The 21180-nt window shown below is 40.1% G+C and overlaps 1 protein-coding gene across 11 annotated transcripts in view, besides 1 other annotated feature; it reads right to left on the reverse strand.

The window, feature by feature from the left end:
- Positions 1-21180, reverse strand: part of DAB1 (DAB adaptor protein 1) — a 1551949-nt gene that overhangs the window by 346937 nt on the left and 1183832 nt on the right. The window lies entirely within an intron of this gene.
- Positions 15621-16251: an enhancer, noted in NCBI's record as "OCT4-NANOG hESC enhancer chr1:57823007-57823637 (GRCh37/hg19 assembly coordinates)". NCBI's record gives its function as "activates a minimal SCP1, AML or CMV promoter by ChIP-STARR-seq in naive and primed H9 embryonic stem cells {active_cell/tissue: H9 hESC(naive and primed)}" and the evidence as "EXISTENCE:reporter gene assay evidence [ECO:0000049][PMID:30033119]".

Below are 21180 nucleotides of genomic sequence, written 5' to 3' on the forward strand. Positions count from 1 at the left end.
ACAGCATTTCCCAAACATTAAGAGTACACAGGTCCCCCGAAAAAGATTATTACCAACAGTTCACTAAAAAGAAGTGTTCTCCACTCATCTAATGGTCAAACAGGTTCAGGGAATGCTACGTGTAAGAACCTCCTTTTGATGCTATAGACAGCACGCTGTACAGTGAAAGCACTGAGAAGCTCCTAGGTGATGCCATCTGTCACTGTTCAACATTAGGTGATGTTAATTGCCAACATTGTCTGGTACCTTATGCCAGGCATTATCCTAAGTGTATTCCATGACTTACCATATTTCATCCTGAACACAGCCCTTTGGGATAGGTACTATTATTATGCCAATGGAGGAAATTGAGACAGGGTTAAGTTACTGACTTATACATAGTTTGCTCCAACCTTTCAGAACAACTCAGAAGTTCTCAAAATGAACCTTGTTCCTTCTCACCTTTTTGCCTTTGTGGGAGACCATTTCCTCTGCCTGGAACTTCCTTCCAACCCTTCTCACCTGGCTGATCCCTATGTATCCTTTGAGTCTTTTCTCCACAGGATCTTCTATTATCATTCCCTCCATGTCAGCTCAAAAGTTCCTTCACTGTACACTCTGCTCCCTGCAGCTACTATGCTGTATTATAAGAATGTTTTTATGTGTCTGCCTCTGTGCTGAGTTTCTTCATGGAAGGGTTCATATTTTGTTATTTCTTTATCCCTAGTGCATTTGCCAAAAGCATAGCACTTGGCAAATAGTGGATGCTCAATAAACGCTTGCTAAGGGAAAAACAAAAAAATAAAAGCAATAAGCAACAACTCCCTATCTAAGACAGGAATATTATTTGCAGGAAAGCAATTCAAGGATGATCATACTAATAAGTGCTCTTGTGTCCAAAATTGGTGGGTTCTTGGTCTCACTGACTTCAAGAATGAAGACGCGGACCCTGGCAGTGAGTGTTACAGTTCTTAAAGGTGGCCTGTCCGGAGTTTGTTCCTTCTGATGTTCGGATGTGTTCAGAGTTTCTTCCTTATGGTGGGTTCGTGGTCTCGCTGGCTCAGGAGTGAAGCTGCGGACCTTCGCGGTGAGCGTTACAGCTCTTAAGGAGGCGTGTCTGGAGTTGTTGGTTCCTCGCGGTGGGTTCGTGGTCTCGCTGGCTTCAGGAGTGAAGCTGCAGACCTTTGCGGTGAGTATTACAGCTCATAAAGGCAGTGTGGACCCAAAGAGTGAGCAGCAGCAAGGTTTATTGCAAAGAGAGAAAGAACAAAGCTTCCACAGCTCAGAAGGGGACCCGAGCGGGTTGCCACTGCTGGCTCGGGCAGCCTGCTTTTATTGTCTTATCTGGCCCCACCCACATCCTGCTGATTGGTAGAGTCCAGTGGTCTGTTTTGACAGGGCGCTGATTGGTGCATTTACAATCCCTGAGCTAGACACAAAGGTTCTCCACGTCCCCACTAGATTAGCTAGATACAGAGTGTCCACATAAAGGTTCTCCAAGTCCCCACCAGAGTAGCTAGATACAGAGTGTCAATTGGTGCATTCACAAACCCTGAGCTAGACACAGGGTGCTGATTGGTGTGTTTACAAACCTTGAGCTAGATATAGAGCGCCGATTGGTATATTTACAATCCCTTAGCTAGACATAGAGGTTCTCCAAGTTCCCACCAGACTCAGGAGCCCAGCTGGCTTCACCCAGTGGATCCTGCACCAGGGCCACAGGTGGAGCTGCCTGCCAGTCCCGCACCGTGCGCCCGCACTCCTGAGCCCTTGGGTGGTCGATGGGACTAGGCGCCATGGAGCAGGGGGCTGCGCTCATTGGGGAGGCTCCGCCGCACAAGAGCCCACGGAGGTCGGGGGAGGCTCAGGCATGGCGGGCTGCAGGTCCCGAGCCCTGCCCTGAGGGAAGGCAGCTAAGGCCCGGCGAGAAATTGAGCACAGCAGCTGCTGGCCTAGGTGCTAAGCCCCTCACTGCCTGGGGCCGGTGGGGCCGGCCGGCCGCTCCAAGTGTGGGGTCCGCGGAGCCCACGCCCACCCAGAACTCGCGCTGGCCCGCAAGCACGGTGTGCAGCCCCGGTTCCCACCGACGCCTCTCCATCCACACCTCCCCAAAAGCTGAGGGAGCTGGCTCTGGCCTTGGCCAGCCCAGAAAGCGGCTCCCACAGTGCATCAGCGGGCTGAAGGGCTCCTCAAGTGTGGCCAGAGTGGGCGCCAAGGCCAAGGAGGCGCCCAGAGCGAGCAAGGGCTGTGAGGGCTGCCAGCACCCTGTCACCTCTCACTCTGATTGACTGAGATCCACTGATGTGCCAGCCACTGTGTAAGCACATTACCTAGAGTATATCATTTTATCCTCACCAGAAACCTTTCAGACATTTGAAAATATTATCCCCATTTTACAATAAGGCAAACTGAGGCTCAAGAAAGATAATTAACCGGTCCCCACCCACATAACCAGTAAATGGCAGAACCAAGTTACAAACCCAAGATGATCAGATTCCAAAGTCTTTGCTCTTTGCATACACTGTTCCATGCTGCTACTTTGTAATTTGCACATCTGATTCATTTTGTAACCAGAGCACTGAGATCTCTTCTAGAACATCATTCTCCTAAGAACACTCTCTCTGCCTAGCTCTTTCTCTTACTGTTAAAGAAAATAAGCTAAGATAGCCTTCAGCTATGCCATCGTGGTGGTGCTTGGAAAAATTAATCCTGTGCCGTTTTGCATTTGCTGCTTGTGAATCAAACTGTGAAAGCTAATTTAAAAACTTTCACACTTGGTTTGAATGAGGACTGTCAGTGCTTGGGGAATGCTAAATTGTACACAATTAGTTCAAACGGTGCTAGCTTAGACTCCCAGCAGCCTCCCAAATGAAAAGGCTCCCACAGTCACCCTGATGAATCGAGGCGAAGGTTATAGAGGTTTCGGCAAAAACAAGCAGAAGCAGTATACGCAGTTCATGATGGCACTGTACACTGATACATCTGTGCTCGTGTGTAATTCTGTTAAGATGGAGTTCCCTCCCAGGAACAACTGTGCCTCACTGAGATCACAGACTTTGGGGCACACAGACGTGGGCTTGATTCCCAGCTGCAAGCTGCATGGCCTAGAGTGAGTTACCTAAGCCACAGAAGCCCTCATTTCATCATCTGTAAAATGGGGTAACACTATAGTCAGCATTAAGCTTTGGGAGGATTTCACAGCATGCATGGAATACCTTGGCTTGGTGCCTCCAAATATCAGAAGCCAGTCAACATTGCTGTTGTTATTATGCCTGTCATGTGCTACCCCGATAGGATATGCACTGTCCCAGGGCAGAGACCCAGACAGTCTTGTTTATCTGGATGCTCCTGGACCATCTGTATTATCTTAGAGCCCTATCTTCAGGATGATTATAATCATTATTAATAATAATAGGATTTGTAATAATCCAGTTTGGACTCTGAAATGGGCCCTAAGTCTTTCCCGATGTTTCAGCAGATTGTAACAGAGGGAACACTGTGCTGAACTTGGGGACCTGCCCCCTATCGTGGATCTGCCCTTTCCTACAGGCCAGGTGAGCCTGCGCTGATTGTGTGCTCTCCTGGCACATTACCTAGCAAATAGCACACCATGGGTGAATGGTTTGGGATGAACTAACATATTTGATCCTGAAACTTCTCATCTGGGAAATGAAAATAATGATAACTGCCTTAGAGAAAACAGACATAAGGATGGTCAATAAAGGGAAAATAAGGCACATCTCAGAGTAAAGGTGATGAGGAATAAGCCAGAACCAACAGGGGTGACTGAAAAGCCACTGTTTCTTCTTCAGGCTCCAGCATTAGCAGTGAGTCTGGGACCCTTCCTACACCTAAATCATAAGAACTTTTATGTATGCAACATCTAGTGCTCGGTTATTTGACTCAGAAATTCTACAATCTTTCATAACTACCAAAGGAAAAAAAGATTTAATAAAAGCATTTTAATAACGGCAGTTCAATTTTAAGGCAAAAATAACTGTAATTACTTGGAGCCTTCATAACATCTAAAATCTGATTAAAATGTACCACCATTTATGAGCTGTGATGGTTATCCTGTTTCACGGCCCTGCAATTACTGCCGGTGCCTATGCAACTTATGCATGCAAGAAACTCCAGATTGCTTCTTTTTCACACTTGCATTGTACTCTAATCCCTCAATATCAAGGGCAATTTAAATGTACAACATACAAAACAGAAGAAGGAATTAACAGGTGTCAAGTTACTGGTGTGCATCAGGAATTAGTAGGCAGTTTAGAAACATGGCTTATGTGGATATTATCGTCATCATTTAAAAACGAAAACCCTGAGATCGAGAGAAGAAACCTGTCCAAGGTCAGAGAGCTAGAAAACGGAAGAGGTTAGTGAGGTTGGAACTTAAAGCTATTCAGTGGCAGCTGCTGTGGTCTTTCACTACGCTACAAAACGGCTTAACTGGGCTGAGCAATGAATCTCAGCTTCATTGTAATCAGCCCCAGTGTGGCAGTTCTTACTAATTTCAGAGGAAAAAGGGGTGAGGAGGAGTGAGAAGACGGAGGAGGATCCTACATGGTAGTTAATATTTCAGCTTCAACTTGACTTCGTAGGTCAGAGCTTACAAGCCTTCTACACATTTTACTTGAAGATTCCTCAAAGAGATTTTGATGTGAAGGCAGAATTTTTAAACATTCATTCTTTCAACAAACACAAAGACTAAGTATTCATTCATTAAATAGTGATATGACAATTCTCAGGAGACCTTCCTGGCCACCCGCTATAAAATGGAATCCCAATTCTTATCTTTGCTCTTCTACTTATATTTTACTTTGTTATAACACACACAGAGATGCAAATTTATAAATTTATTAATAAATTTCCTTTACATCCTTTATTTATTGTCATCTCAGTATACCAAAAATGGAAGCTCTCCTTTGACATGGAATTCTAGGCTGTTTTGTTGTCACTGTTCTCTAGAAGCTGGAAGAGTCTAGAGTATAGAAGCTCCTCTGAACATTTGTTCAATAAATGAGTTCATTCACTAAAAGCTGAGGTTACAGCAGTGTACATGAACTGACCAATTTTCAGACACGTATGCCAAGTTTTCAAGATAGACTGAGGCTCTTTTTAAGTCTCATTACTCCATACTATCTGAATTTGTTAACTACCTCCTTCAGTTATTCATTCCATCATTTAACAAGCATTTACTGTGTACCTATGGTATGCCAGGCAGTGTTCGGTGCTTGGATTCCAGTTGTGAACAAAATAGGCAAAATCCATGAAGCTTACGTACTGGTGGAGAAAACCAACAAATAAACCAAAATATACCTTTTCTAATGTTAGGTAGTCATAAAAGCTATGATATCAACCAGAGGAAGGAGAGATTGTGATTACACAAAGGCAGGAAGGGAGAGCCCATTCAGTGCAGGGCCAGGGAAGGCACTTCTGGGGAGGTGAAGCTGTCAACAAATATGCTTATACAAACTAGGAGAGGATTTGGGGTCAGCAGGGCAGTGGCAAAGTCCTGCCCCAAATGGGGCAAAACATTTCTCACGGCCCAAACATTTCTCATCTGCAATCTTCAGCTTCCTCACTTTATGCAGTAAGAATAATAATACTTGCCCTGCCTACCTTGCAAAATAGGCCTGCTGTGACCAGCAGCGAAATATCCCATTTTTCTCACCCAATATATTAAGGGGTGGTATTACAGGATTTCTATGATCTCTTCCCGTTCTAATTTGCTAAGATTCTAATGGTATGAAAGAGCTCTGTAAACTCTAATTTGCTGCACAAATGTATGAGATAATGGTCAGCACAATTGTGACTTTTATCATTATTCCAATGATCCACTTTGGTTCCAGGGTTCAGAGCCCCCAGCATCAAAGCACTCTTCAGCCTCATTTATATTTAAGTGATTTCAAGATCTCATTGAAAATGTAAGTTGAATGGTAATTTCATTCCTAGAGATGTTTTGTTGTCCAAGCCATAATTTAAATGCCCATCCTAAATTCTGCTAATTATCAGCACTAATGAAAGACTGAAATGGCATAGCTAATCCAAAGGCCTATTCTAATTTGGTTTTAGGCTGTATTTCAAGATTTTTTTTTTAAGCGGCAGATTTGTCTTCCCAATAGTACTGTGGCTAAGTTACTGCTAAAAGGAGCAAGTGCACAGTAGGCAAGAGATGTCAGGTAAGATGAGGGGGTTACTACACTGCTGTTTAGGGATGAGCTTTGGGGTTCCATCACCCCTCTAAAACTGTAAGAAAATTCATTTACTTTCATTCTAACCTCAAGAAAATGAATTAAACTTGAAACTTTCCAGGTTCCTTTCTAGGTGGAATAGTTGGCTCTTTGATCATCATGACCTGGAACTATCAACAAGGGTATTTGAGCAGCACAGGAATATAAATTTACCTCGAATAACATATCAGCATGAGCCTGAAGGAGACAAAATTGTATTCAAAACTTGCCGAGTGTTTCCTATATACCAGGCAAGTTGCTGAGAGATAGGAATCCACAGAGGAGCAAACACTTGTCCCTGCCCCTAGAGGCTCACTATCTGCTGTAGGAGACAGATCACTGATAAAGCAAGTCCACTAAATTTTCACAGGGGCTAAAACAGAGCTGTGAACAGGATAGAGGGAGGGCCAAAAGAGAGAGGGTGGTTTTATCAGAGTTTAGAAGGCAAGTCTTCATGTTAAAGGTGACCCTTGAGCTATAAAAAATAAATGGTTGCCAAATATTCATAAGGTAGCTGAAAAGCAAAAACTGGTATTTAGTGTCAGGCCCAGTACCAGATGCTAACTGTGTTTAATTTAATCTCTAAAGCACCCAGTACATTTATCATCCCCGTTGTACAGATGAAATAACTGAGGCACAGTTATGTATACATCATCTGTTCAGTAACTCTCCCCATTTCACTCATCTTGCCAGAGTCAGGAATGAAAACCAATTTTCCCTCAATGAAGCCAACTAGAATGCCTCTTCTCCCCTCTACGAGAACCTTCATGATGTTCTCAGTATCTAACCTGCAGCCAACTACCTTCTGCCTGACTCTAACCAACTACACAAAGTCTGAGCCATGTCACTTAGCTCCACTGGAAATGCCTCCCTTGTCTAGCCCTCTACACGTGGTTTTGGTTCTTTTATTTCTCCAACAAGACTCCAAAGTTCTCCAAGAAAGAAGCCATATGTGCCCTTGACCCAGCCTTTAACTCTGCCCAGACACCATGCTCCTCCCACAGAAGTAAGAGGTGGGTCCAGCCATCTGTAGGGAAGGTAATAAGAACCAACATAAAATTCAAGCCCATTTCCTTCCCAACTGGCAATGGAACAAAAAACCTTCCACCTCTCATTCTAAAGCCCACTGAACATTCATTTCCCTCACTGAAAGTAAGTCCCAGGCAAGTAATCCCAATAGCTCCTGACTTTCTAAAAAGGGTGGGGCTTTCTTCATCCTGTTTGTAATAACTCGTCCTGTGACCCTGAGTAATTCAACACAGCCCACTTTTGTTTCATTGTTCTTCTCTTTCAACTCTCCTTCATGCTTGAATTAGGATATTTTCCATCCCAAACCATCAGGCACTGGTAGTGATTTCTAAGCACTTCTCTTTAACCTTGCTTTTGTAAAATGCCCACTGTATTCTGGGTAAGAAGAGATTTTTTTGGTGTGTGTGTGTGGCAGGGTCCTTAGCACCCACGCTGACTGAGTATCATACATTTAGCCTTTAATTTTCAGACAATAAGTTTCCTCCACTACACTCGAAGCCATATTTATAAAACATGGAAAGCTGTAGTATCTTTTCTCCAAATAAGTAAGGGAAAAAAAAGGAAGCTCTCTGACGAAGGTCATCGGGATTTTGAAATGTTTGAAAATAATCTCTTTTCCATGAATGCACAAACTATCATATTTCCCCTGCTATTGAATGACATTTTTCAGGACTGATGATTAACATACAGCCTACCATGTAGGCACCTTCAAGGAAAAAGCAGCCTGCATTATTCCAGTATCTGTGGAGGAATTTTGCATTAGGTACACATGACAGTGAGAATTTCCCCTCCTAGCGGGGGAAATCAAAATAAAGATCCGGACAGAAACTAATTATACTCATTGGCAGTTTGTCCAAGGATAGCTACAAAAGAATATCTTTTTATGTGACTAAAATACTGATTGTAGCCTCCTCTTTACCTCAATAATTATGTCTGCAGAATCTCACCATCAAGTGGCCATCCTGACATAGACACATTTATTCCTGGGCAAGAAATGAGAAGCACAAACTACTTCATTTCTATGGCAGTAAAGCATTGCAATTGGCACAGATATTTATAAATAGATTTGATTTCTCAAATGGCCACATTGCCAATAGCCCAGGGTTCTTCCTACTAGCCCATGCTGGCACATCATCCTGAAAAGTTGCTCTGATCAACTATCCTTAATAGAGAATGTACCACATGCTGAGCTCTGTGATAAGTTAAATATGTACCAAGTCATTTCATCTTCAAGTGATTTATAATGCAGACACAATTTTTATCCTCATTTTTTGTTCTTTTTAAAAATGAGGACACTGATACAAAGAATTTGAAGTATTGGCCTTAGATCCCACCAGCTTTTACGTGGTGTAGCTAGGATTTGAACACATACCTGTTTGACTCCTTTTCTGTCTACTACTCCTTTACTTACCAATATCATCTACCAACAAGAATTGACCACCCTAGTAGGTTCAAAGCTGTGTAGTAACAAACCATATGCTAATGCTTGCATGTTCATGGTAAATGTTTAGTGACAGGAGATCAGGAAAAGCATATCCTGCTCCCACTTGGCCCCGACTGCTGAATGGAATGAGCTCCCTCTGTATTTAGATCCACTTTGCTGGGCGCTACTCAGGGAGAGAAGCAATAATTACAAGTTCCTGACTGGCTGACCCAATCAAAAGCATGCCCATACCTCTGACTGGCACCAAAAAGGGACAAAGAGCTTGAGAATGAAAGAGAAGTAAATGCCAATTTCCAGTTGGATTCACACAAAGTCACAACAGCTGGCTTCAAGTGTCTTCAAAAAAAAAATAGCTATTCAAGTCACATGCCCAAACACTAAGATAAAATGAATGTCTGCTTAATGAAAGACTACGGTGAACTTTGCTAACCACAGCCTGTGCGTTTGTAAGATGAGTCTATATATCTGGCTCATACAGAATTTACCAGAGATATACTGAGCACGCAGTGTTAGGAGCTACAAATTTAGAAATAAATAAGAAGAGGCCCCTGACCTCAAAGGGTTCGAATGAAACAGAAGAGAGAGACACATTGAGGTAGTCACACCAGCAACTCACTTCTTACATACTAGCCATGGGCTGGGCACTGTGCCACTTGTTTCATGTCCATTATCCACTTAATGTTATGAAGAGATGCACTATTATCTGCAGTCTACAAATGAGAAAATTGTGGTTCAAATCGTTGAGTCACTTGTTCAAGTTTCAAAAACTAGGGAGTGACAGAACTGGAACTCAAATCTAGGTTTTGCAGACTCCAAAGACTTGATCTTTAAACACTATGCTATACTGGTTCCCTGCTCAGAAATAAATCTACCACATTTCAGCACTGTAAGGACAACACAGAAGTAGGCACAAGTCCAAGAGGAGACACCAAAAAGAACGGAAGTCATTTGGGGGTATGAAGGAAAGGCATGTCTTCGACCTTCACAGGGCTGTATCAGGTTTTGAAACACACATGTAAGTTCATCAAGGAAACAAAGGAGGGGAGTTGAACATTCAAGTCAGGAAGAACTCAGAATTCCAGAGGCACAAACGAGCACAGCCCACTAAGACCCACTAAGAATTGCTGCAAGCAATTCTGTACAGTAATTGTATAAGGTGATATTAAGGATAGGGATAACAAGTTGGTTGCAGATGTAGGCAGGGAAGGGACTAAAGGGTAATACACATAGGGTTGTGTGTGTGTGTGAACATTACACACACAAGCATGCATGCATGTGCGCATACACATCTTTCATGTGATTTTTCCAGAGCAGGGTGGACCCCTGGTGTGAGTGAAAGCAAGCAGAACTCAGCTAAGGCCATCATTGACTTTCATGGGGCCAATCAGTTGCAAACATCCCAGTCTCCTGACAATGAATTTGGATAAAACACCCACACATGTTTATTTGTCATTTCTCCCTGCTCAGAAATAACTACCCAACTACTTAGCATGTAAAATGTGGTGTGTTTTGCACCTGTCATTTTCTAGGAGGCCTAGCTATAGTCAGAAAGAAAATGAAGCAAAGTAGAGAAACAATCAAAACTAAATGCAAAACATGAATACCTATAATCCCTTTACATGAAAGAAAAACATTAGATGTGAACCCCCAAAATGACTGCATTTCCAAATCAAAGAAGGAAGAAAACATATACCTGGCTGACTTTGTTCCATCCAACAAGACACAAGCATGACAAGATGGAAAAAGGATCAGAAGAAGTGTCAAGAGTATTATGAATGAGACTCCATTAAGCTGCTGAGTCACTATATGACTTGGAGTACACCATTTAATCCTTCTAAGCCTCAGTTTATCATCTGGAAATGGGTACAAGAATATACCTAATGCCATGTTTCTGATAATGATTAAATTGAAAAATGCATATAAAGTACTTAAGTACAGTAGATGACAAATAGTACTTACAGCAACTTGAAAATTTGTTCATATAATCTAAAACTACTTTTACCCAAAATATGTTTTTTAAATGTTGGACGAATTTTGGCTTGAAGAGGTATACCTAAGTTCAAAAGCTTGCATATTTCTAATGCTACCAACAGCAGCTCTAGTTTACTGAGCACTTGCTATAATTCCTTGTATTGACTTCACAACCACTCTATGGCATAAGTACTATTATCACCTCCATTTTACAGACCAAGAAACCAAGGCATAGAAATTTAAAAATTTGTCTAAAGATACACAGAAAGAAACTGAAGGAGTAAGATTTGAACCCACACATTCTAGTAATTTGGAACATTTCCTGAAGAATATTTTTAGAATTAATTTCTCCTAGGGTATGACATTTAATTTTTGGTGTCAATTTGGAGGGTGTTTTTGGATGAGATTGACATTTGAATCAGTAGATTTTGAATAAAGTTGATTACCCTCAATCAATAATAATTGATGATTATTTGTGGGTGAGCTTCCTCAAATAAGATGAAGGCCTGAACAGAACAAATAGACCAGCAGCCCCAAACAAGAGAGAATCAAACAAGAGAGAACAGTCCAAGAGACCGCCTTTAGAATTCATCCGCACTGTTGGCTCTCCTGAGTTTCAAGGCTGCTGGCCTAAGCTGCAGGTTTTGGACTTGCCAGACTCTGTAATCATATGAGCCAATTCCTTATAATAAATATTTTTCCATGTATACATATTTTCCATATATATATATTTTTTTCCATACACACACACACACACACACACACACACACACACACATCCTATTGGTTCTGTATCTCTAGAGAAACCTGACTAATACATAGCACTTTTCAGTTTTGTCTTCCACCAACTTTCATTATCTTTTCAACTCAATTTATTCAGCAGATATTCACTGAGTGCTCCACATGACCCAGACACCATGCTAGACCTGATTACACGGTTGAGATACTCTCTCTGTCCTCAAGGAGGATATGGCTGTTCCGTCCTATTCTGCCTATGGTTTTCCATTCCTTGTTAGTCCATCCACCTCCTTTCTGGATTACGAGATCCTTGAGATGAATGGCAAGTCTTTTGTACAACATCAAGTACAGAGCTTCCAATAGACAACAGAGTAAATGCCCATCAATGTTGGTGAAATAAATATCATTTGTGCTTGCCATGGCTTCGATTTTTGTCGTTTGCTGAGTATGTGCAAGGTCACATGCTGGACCTCAGCATTCACTTCTATCTCATTTTGTCTCAATTTTAAGCAACAGAAGAAAGGGAGATGCCAGGAAGTTAGGTAGCCTGCCTGAGGTCATACTGAGTTATTCACGCTTAGGTCTGCCTGAGTCTAAAGCTGGTGGACTTCTCCACGTTGCTTTTGCTACAGCTCCCTGCTCCTCCCCCTTCCACACTGTGAATAACAGATGAGGCCTGGGATGGATGAGTGTCCCCAGAGCCCCAGGGCCTTCAGCCAAACTTCATACACATACAACTTCATAGCTTGCATGAGGCGAAGTATAAAAATGAAGGCAGCCGGATGTTATCTATAAACACCTCAAAGCTTCTTTTCCTTTCACTTAAAAATTCTCTAGTAATTGTTTTTACTGCAGTTAATCATAAAAATGAATCACCTCAAATTTTTGAAAGGAATTCTCCTTCAAAACCTGTCAACTTTGTGCCATGAATTCATTTATTATGAGACCACATGATGCCTCCAAGTACTGCATTTTATTTAAACGTGACATTTTTTCACTCTGTTTTGATTTCACATCTGAAAATCGCTTCTATCAATCTTTCATTGGAGCCAAACATAACTATTTTGCTCACTGAAACATTACATACAGACTCAGGGTCCTAGAATCAAATTAAAAAATAAAAATAAAGTAGTATCTGGCTGACATTCCTAGCATCATATCCAGAGAGACCACAGATTTGAGAGCTGCCTTGAACCTACTTCCAAGATAAAAATCAATCAATCCTAATCCTTTTGGACCTTAGATCACTTCAAAAATCTAAAGACTTTATGTGGGTTGACTTTTCTTTTTGTGATTCAATTTTGGAAATTGTTTACTATTCTGATTTGAAAGTAGTATGACATCTTCAATGAAATTGCCAGACTCAGTTAGGGAATTGATCATGATCAATGATTTTCCACATCAGTTGCTGTTGGGTTGAGGGTGGGGGGTTAGGATGTACGCTATACACTTACATTCCCCACAATGCATCATTCTCTTTCTAAACAGTGGCAGCAAACAGGCACATCCAATATTGTACTACTTTCTTCTTTCATTCATGATGGTGTTCCACATGGGTCCTGAGAGTCTGAAAAAGGAAGCAATCTCTAGTTCTGTAGATGAAGGGAACCCTGAGCAATCCATCATGCTTTGTCTGCTAATGTTAGACTCATGCATAAGAGCTACCATAACTGGAGACAGGCAGCAGGCATGAAAAGGAGTGAATCAACTGTCAATGGTTGGGATCTGAAGGACTGCAAGCTGTGATTAAAATATCCCATCAGGACTTCCAGGATTTATCATGCTACTGGGAAAAGGGGTGCCATGAGAGAAATGTGTACAGGCATTTTCCTCCATCAGCCCTGTCTTCTCCACGATTAGCAGAGTGAATTCCTAAGGGCCACCCAAAACTGAGTGTCTTCTTGGCCCAAAGAAAGAAACTTTAGAAGATCTCCTAAAGTGAGGTAGAGGCACACCAGGATGAAACAACTACACGTTCTTTTGCATGATGCTTAAATTAATGTCTCTAAGATACAATCTTGGTCAAAAACCTTTGATTTCTTCCTTCCCTCTTTCCCTCTTCCTTCTCTTTTTTCCTTTTCCCTTAGTTGTTTCATTCCTTTCTCCCTTCTTTTTCTTCCTAATTTCCTTCCTTCTTTATTAAATTCCTTTCCTTCCTGGCATACATTTTTTTTTCCATCCTTGGTTCTTACCTACCTACTTATCTATCTTCCTTCCTTCCTTCCATCCTCCCTTCCTTCCTTCCTTCCCTTCCTTCCTTCGTTCCTTCCTTCCTTCCTTCCGTCCTTCCGTCCTTCCTTCCACATTTATTAAGCACTTAGAGAGAAAATAATTCCCAGGTTGAAAAAGTCACAGTCTACTGGTAGAGGGTCACCTAACAGAGACAACCTTAATATAGTGTGAGATAAACACTAGTGCTATGGGGATAGAGTGGAGTTGGGGGTGGGGCATGAGTGTGAACAATGTTTAGAAAAGCTTCCTAGATGGTGAGAGTGGGTCACCAGCACAGGAAACAGCAGAGGCAAAAACATAAAGGCAAAAGATCGTGGTATTTCGTGGTATTTCATGGTATTTTCAAGAAAATGTAGGCAGGCCCGTGGACCTGAAGTATACTTTATTGGGAGTCATATGAAATGGGTCTGAAGAGGTAAACTGTTATGAAAAGCTTTGTACATAAGAATTTTATGAAGGCAATGGAGAGAAATAATAGGCTTTAAGCAGAAGTGGTAGTGGTAACTAGCTTTTTTGTTAAACCTCAATAAACACACACACACACACACACACACACACACACACACACACACACACAAAATGTCCTCTAAGCATGCTATTTTAAATTGCAACCTAATTCACTAGTTTTTCCTCTTCCCTACTTTATTCTTCTGTCGCCCTTATCACATTTAGTTCCAGATTTCCTTATTAATTTTATTTATTGTCTATTTGCCTCCACTGAAACATAAGCTCCATGAAAGCAGAGATTTGGAGTTTGTTCAGTGCTATATTCCTTGCACCTAGAGCAGTGTTTAGCACATAGTAGTCAGTGAATGTTGTTGAGTGCTAAGACAGTAAAACTCAATTTCACTGCTTTTGCTACAGCTCCCTGCTCCTTTTCAAAGACAGTAAAACTCAATTACCTCAACATTTTATTGGAAGAAAAGCCCTTGCCTTTAAAGTGGACACATGACTTAAACTTGCTCAGTTCAATCCTCTGATCTGTAGCATGCAGGTAAAATACCTACTATAAGAGTAATTACAATAAAAAGTTATGTCAAGAACTTAGAATAGCAACTGACATATAGAGCAAGTCCTCAATAAACTTCAACTGTTGTTTTATGCTTTTGATGATATCACATTTATTTCCACTCCTTGGGAAGCTCCTGAGGACAAGAACTGGGTCTTGGTCATCCAGCACATATCAGGGGCACAACAAATGGCTTCTCTCATGGAATCTGGTCCAACAATCTGACATGCTCTCTCATCAGTTCAGAAAATAAATAATCTCCCTAGGATATTTCTAAGTATTGCAACAAACTCCATTCAGACAGAAAAAAGTCTTGAAAATATAATGTGCTTTTCAAACGATGCAGTTTGTAGGAACAAAGCTCAGCTGTGGCCAAATGAAGGTCCTAAAGCCATGTGTCCTTACTTCTTTGGGGGACTGATACCATCCTACAGCTACCACAGCAACTTATAATACTGCTTGGAAATTAACTGCCTCTCGCAATAGACCACATGCATCTTAAGAGAAGAAAGCCACCACCGGAGAAGCAGTACTGGGTAGTGGTTAACAGCTTGTGATGTGCCACTCTGCCACTTTTAAGCCATGTGGCTTTAAGAGACTTACTTTAATCCCTTTGTGCTTCAACTATACATTGGAAACAATAATGACCCTATCCTATAGGGTCACTGCATGGATTAACTAAGTTCATCCTGTGAAGTCATTAGAACAGTGCCTGGCACACAGTACATGTTCAACACATGTTATATTTTATCACCAATACACTCTAGCACATAATAGGTGTCCAAACAATGATTACTGAATTGACAATTTAACATAAACACATCAGAATTTCCTCTCGTTTGATCACTGAAAATGACAGGAAAGGAGTTTGCTTATACTCAACCCCTATTCCTGCTCAGAGAAATGTAAAAAAAATAATACTGACAACAACTGAAAAGGCTCTGTCCCTTCCTGGTTATATGATCTGATGCATAACCTTTAACTGTAGAACCTCAATTTCTTCACCTGTAAAACTCACCTATCTCCCAGGGTTGCTCTGTGGCTTGACAAAATAATATCTGGTCTGGTGCTTTACCAACCCCATAGTACTATAAAATATAAGTGGTTTCTTCAATTTCTTTTATCACTGATTTATGGTTTTCATTGTAGAGATCTTCACCTTCTTCCTTTTTTTTTTTTTTTTTGGTAGCTATTGTAAATGGGATTGTTTTCTTTGTTTCTTTTTCAGATAGTTCACTATTAGCATGTGAATTTGTCATGCTGCTACGAAGAAATACCTGAGAGTGGGTAATTTAGGAAGAAAAGAGGTTTAATTGACTCAGTTCTGCATGGCTGAGAAGGCCTCAGGAAACTTACAATCATGGTGAAAGAGGAAGCAAACACATCCTTCTCACGTGGCGGCAGGAGAGAGAAATGCCAAGCAAAAGGGGGAAATCCCCTTATAAAACCATCTCATGAGAACTCACTCACTATCATGAGAGTACTGCATGGGGGTAACCATCCCCATGATTCAATTACCTCCCACCAGATCCCTCCCCGAACACATGGGGATTACGGGAACTACAATTCAAGATAAGATTTGGGTGGAGACACAGGCAAACCGTATTAGCACGGAAAAACACTATTGATTTTCATATGTTGATTTTGTATCCTGCAACTCTACTGAAATTGTTTATTAGCTCTAACAGTTTTTTGGTAGAGTCTTTAGGGTTTTCTATATATAAGATCATGTCATTTGCAAAGAGGGACAATTTAACTTCTTCCTTTTTACTTTGAATGCCTTTTCTTTCTTTCTCTTCACTAATTGCTCTGGCTGGGACTTCTAGCACTATGCTGAACAGAAGTGGTGAAAGTGGGCATTCTTGTCTTGTTCCAAATCTTGGGGAAACACTTTCAACTTTTCCTCATTTATTATTATATTAGTTGCGGGTCCTTCTTATATGGCCTTTATTGTGTTGAGGTATATTTCTTCCATACCTAATTTGTTGAGAGCTTTTATTATAAAGAGATGTTACATTTTGTCAAATGCTTTTTGTGCATCTATTGAAATGATCATAAGGTTTTTGTCTTCATTCTGTTACAGTGGTGTATCACATTTATTGTTTTGTGTGATGAAAAGAATAAAGAATTGAAGACACAAATAAATGAAAAGACATCCCATGTTTAAGGACTGGAAGAATAAATGTTGTTAAAATGACCATACTATCCAAAGCAGTCTACAGATTCAATGTAACCCTTACTGGAAACATTCTTCACAGAAATAGAAAAAAAAAATCTTAAAATTCTTATGGAACCACAAAAGAGCCCAAATAGCCAAAACAATCTTGAGTTAAAAGAACAAAACTGGAGGCATCACACTACCTGACTTCAAAATATACTACAAAGCTACAGTAACCAAAACAGCATGGTACTGGCATAAAAACAGACACATAGACCAATAGAACAGAATAGAGAGCTCAGAAATAAATCCATGCATTTATAGCCAACTTCTTTTCAACAAAGAAGCCAAGAACACACAGTCTCTTCAATAAATGGTGTTGGGAAAACTGGATATCCTCATGCAGAAAAATAAAATTTACTTCTCACCATATACAAAAATAAACAGATTAAGGATTTAAATATATTAATCAAAACTACAAAACTACTAGAAGAAAATATATAAGAAAAGCTCCATGACACTGGATTCGGCAAGGACTTTTTGGATAAGATCTCAAGAGCATAGGTAACGAATAGACAAATGAGATTACATCAATCTAAAAAGCTGCTGCACAGCAAACAAACCAATCAACAGAGTGAAGAGACTACCCACAGAATGAGAGAACATATTTACAAACTATATATCTGATAAGAGGTTAATATCCAAAATATATAGGGAACTCAAACAACTCAATAGCAAAAACAGAAAAACTGACTAACAAATTGTTAAAAGACTGAATAAACATCTCTCAAAAGAAGATACACAAATGGCTAACAGGTATATGAAAAAAATGCTCAATATCACTAATCATCAGTGAAATGCAAATCAAAACCACAATAAGATATCCCCCTACCCCAGTTAGAATGTCTGCTATCAAAAATAAAAATAAGAAGTATTGGCAAGGATATAGAGAAATGGCAACCCCTATACACAGGTGATGGAAATGTAGATTAGTACAGCCATTGTGGAAAACAGTATGGGGGTTCCTTAAAAACTTAAAAATAGAACTACCATATGATCCAGCAATCTCACCACTGGAATTATATGCAAAGGAAATGAAATCAGTATGTTGAAGAGATATCCACACACCCATGTTTATAGCAATACATTTATAATAGCCAAGATACGGAGACAACCTAAGTGTCCATCAAGGATAAATAAATAAAGAAAATGTGGTATATACACAATGTAATACTATTCAGCCATAAAAAAGAATGAAATCCTGCCATTTGTGACAAGATGGATTGACCTGCAGGACATCATGTTAAGTGAAATAAGCCAGGCACAGAAAGACAAATATTATATCCCCTCACTAACATGTGGAATCTAAAAGAGTTGATCTCATAGAAGTAGAGAGTAGAATGGTGGCTACCAGAGGCTGGTGTGCTTGGGAGTGGGGGAAGGATGGGGCAATATTGGTCAAATTATACATAATCACAGTTAGATAGGAGGAACAAATGTTAAGAGATCCACTATACAGCAAGGTGACTATAGTTAATAACAATAAATTGTATTCTTGAAAAATGCAGAGTTGATATTATGCACTCTCACCAAGTATGCAAGGTAATGCATTTGTTCATTAGCTAGACTTAACAATTTCACAATGTGTATACACTTCATAACAACATGCAGTACGTGATTAAAATACGCAATGTTAGCTGTCAATTTTAAACTAATTAATTAATTAAAATTTGAAAAAAAAATTTAAACTCCAAAAAGTACTAGGCGGTATTACAAACAGAAAAAACCCAGCCACTTGTCAAAAGGAGGGGTTAAAACAAACTGCCCATCAGACTACTTTATCTTCTTACATTTGTGCAAAATTAAAATGACTCTTTGCAGAATCCAATTTGGATAAGCCCATGTCAATACTACTCATACAAGCCATCACTAATGACAAGATTGATAGCTCAGGAGGGCAAGTCATTTCATGTTCACTGTGCATCATGTTTAATTCGCCAAAAGGAGTTTGTGTGTATAATTAATGTGCTTTTCTTCCTGCCTTCATTTGGAAACATGTAAAGGGTCTCTAGGGAATTCTGTAAGTTAGAAACAATTAATAAAATAAAATCACTTAATTAAAGAGAATAATTGGAGTCTATTTTCTACCATAAAATAAAGGGATAAAAATCACTTTGGAAACACATTGTACAAAAATTGCTTGAGTTTTAAAAGAAAGAACAATATGCAGACAGAACACATGTAAGTCATGATAGTGGACAGATTTCCCAGGCCCTTTGTTCTGGAATGATTGAAATCCAACTGACTTGACTTGTTTATGAAATACATGAGCACCGGCCCTTCAATAACAAGTCTCATTTTTTCTGGAGGAAAATTCTGTTTATCCATTATTTCAACGCACATTTACAATACTTTTTATATGTCGCCTATTATGTAAGGACCCATAGGTAAAAAGCAGCCCCTCCCGCAGCCTTCCAGAAATGTCCAGTCTAGTTAGGAGAGAGGCCCCCCTTTAACACACAATTAAAATGCAGAGAGATAAGCACTGTGAGGGAACAGAGGACACCACAGAACACTGAGAAATGGCATCCCTCCTAGCCTAAGAAAAACAAGTAAAGCTTTCAGACAAAAAAATAAAGAGCATTAGGTAGTATTGAAAGAAGAAACTGCAATTACAGATGTAATATCAAATACTGAGTCACAAATACATGAATGTACTCAGTGTCTGGATGAATGACATAAAACTCAGCATGTCCCAAGAAGACAGTCTATGTTTTAGAGCAGAAAGAGATGAAGCTGAAAATGAGAAAGAGCATGGACGTGGAATCAGATAACTAGCTCAGATCACATAAATATGACCACATATGTATGTAACATCTCTACACTTCAGTTTCCTCATATAAAAATGCAGTTCTAGGAGCAACCAGATGGTAACATATTGCATTATGGTTCCCAATATCTGTGTCCTTCCAATAAAAGGATTGTTCATCTGCATCCTTTGCCATGTCACTGCCAATATCTAAGGTAGATGGAGAATATTCTGTGCTCCATTGTCGGGTTTGCCATGAGACTTTTTTTTTTCCTTTGGCCACTGGAATATGAGTAGACATAATGTACACAAAACTGAGCAGAAACTGTATACATATGTCATTCAGTTAAGACTTCTGTATTTCTGCCCTCTGACATGAGAATCACATAGCCCAGATGGGGCTGCTCCCAGAGCCTGGATTTCTGGCATGAGCAGACTTTTGGAAGAGAACTAAACAGAGCTGCATCCGACCTGCAGAATTATTGAAATTCTGGGATATCTGTTACTACCACAGCAAAAATCACCAATACAGAGATAAATGAATAGCTCATAGTCTAAGAGGAAGACAAACAGGTAATGATACAACAATCAGAAGAGTATCATTATAAATATATGTATAAGATAGTATTGAAGAATTAATAACATATCTAAAGACACTTGTCCCATCTTAGGCATTTAATCAATTTTGGATTCCTTCACCTTAGACCTTTGAGGAAGAGGTAAAAGTCTCAGAGTTAAACAATTATATAGAAGGACATGTCGAAGAATGAATATATTAATTTGTTCCATATGAGATACCTGCCATCAGATTTAACTGAATATACCCCAGATTGGTTCTCATCCTTACCTTGGGCAAGTCCTTAACCTATGTGAACCTCAATTTTTCTCATCTGTAAATGAACAAAGAAACACTACCTACTTTGAACAGCAATTACAATAATTAGATTAAGCCATGTGGAGTCCTTAAAAGAGAGACTAACACACAACATGTGCTCAAAAAACGTAAATCATTGTTAGTATTTATTACTATTATTCAATAATTCTAAACTTTCTGCAATTTACTTAGGAGCATTACTCCTATACCTTCTCAGTGGCACCAACTACAAAACACCAATTTCTTTCATGTTTAACTATAAACTGATTAACCACTGATATGGTTGGAATGTTTTAAAGTTCATATATTGAATCCTAATTGCCAATGTGATGGTATTAGGGAGGTGGGGTCTTCTTGAGGTGATTAGGTCATGAGAGGTGAGCCCTAGTGAGTGGGATTAGTCCCCTTATAAAAGAGGCCTCAGAGAGCTGCCTTGCCCCTTCCACTGCAGAAGGACGCAACTTGAAGGCACTATCTTTAAACTACACAGCAGGCCTTCACCAGACACCTAATCTGTCAGCACCTGGATCCTGGACTTAAGTTGTTTATTAGCTACTCAGTTTATGGCATTTTGTCATAGCAGCCCCAATAGATTAAGACACCCACCCAAAATACACACACACAAGCACACAAACACACACATGCATGCACTACACATACAACATCTTTTATTCTTTACCGTTAGCACTTCCGTCACTATC

The sequence above is a fragment of the Homo sapiens genome, chromosome 1 (assembly GCF_000001405.40).
Source record: "Homo sapiens chromosome 1, GRCh38.p14 Primary Assembly".
In the NCBI taxonomy this organism is placed as follows: Eukaryota; Metazoa; Chordata; class Mammalia; order Primates; family Hominidae; genus Homo; species Homo sapiens.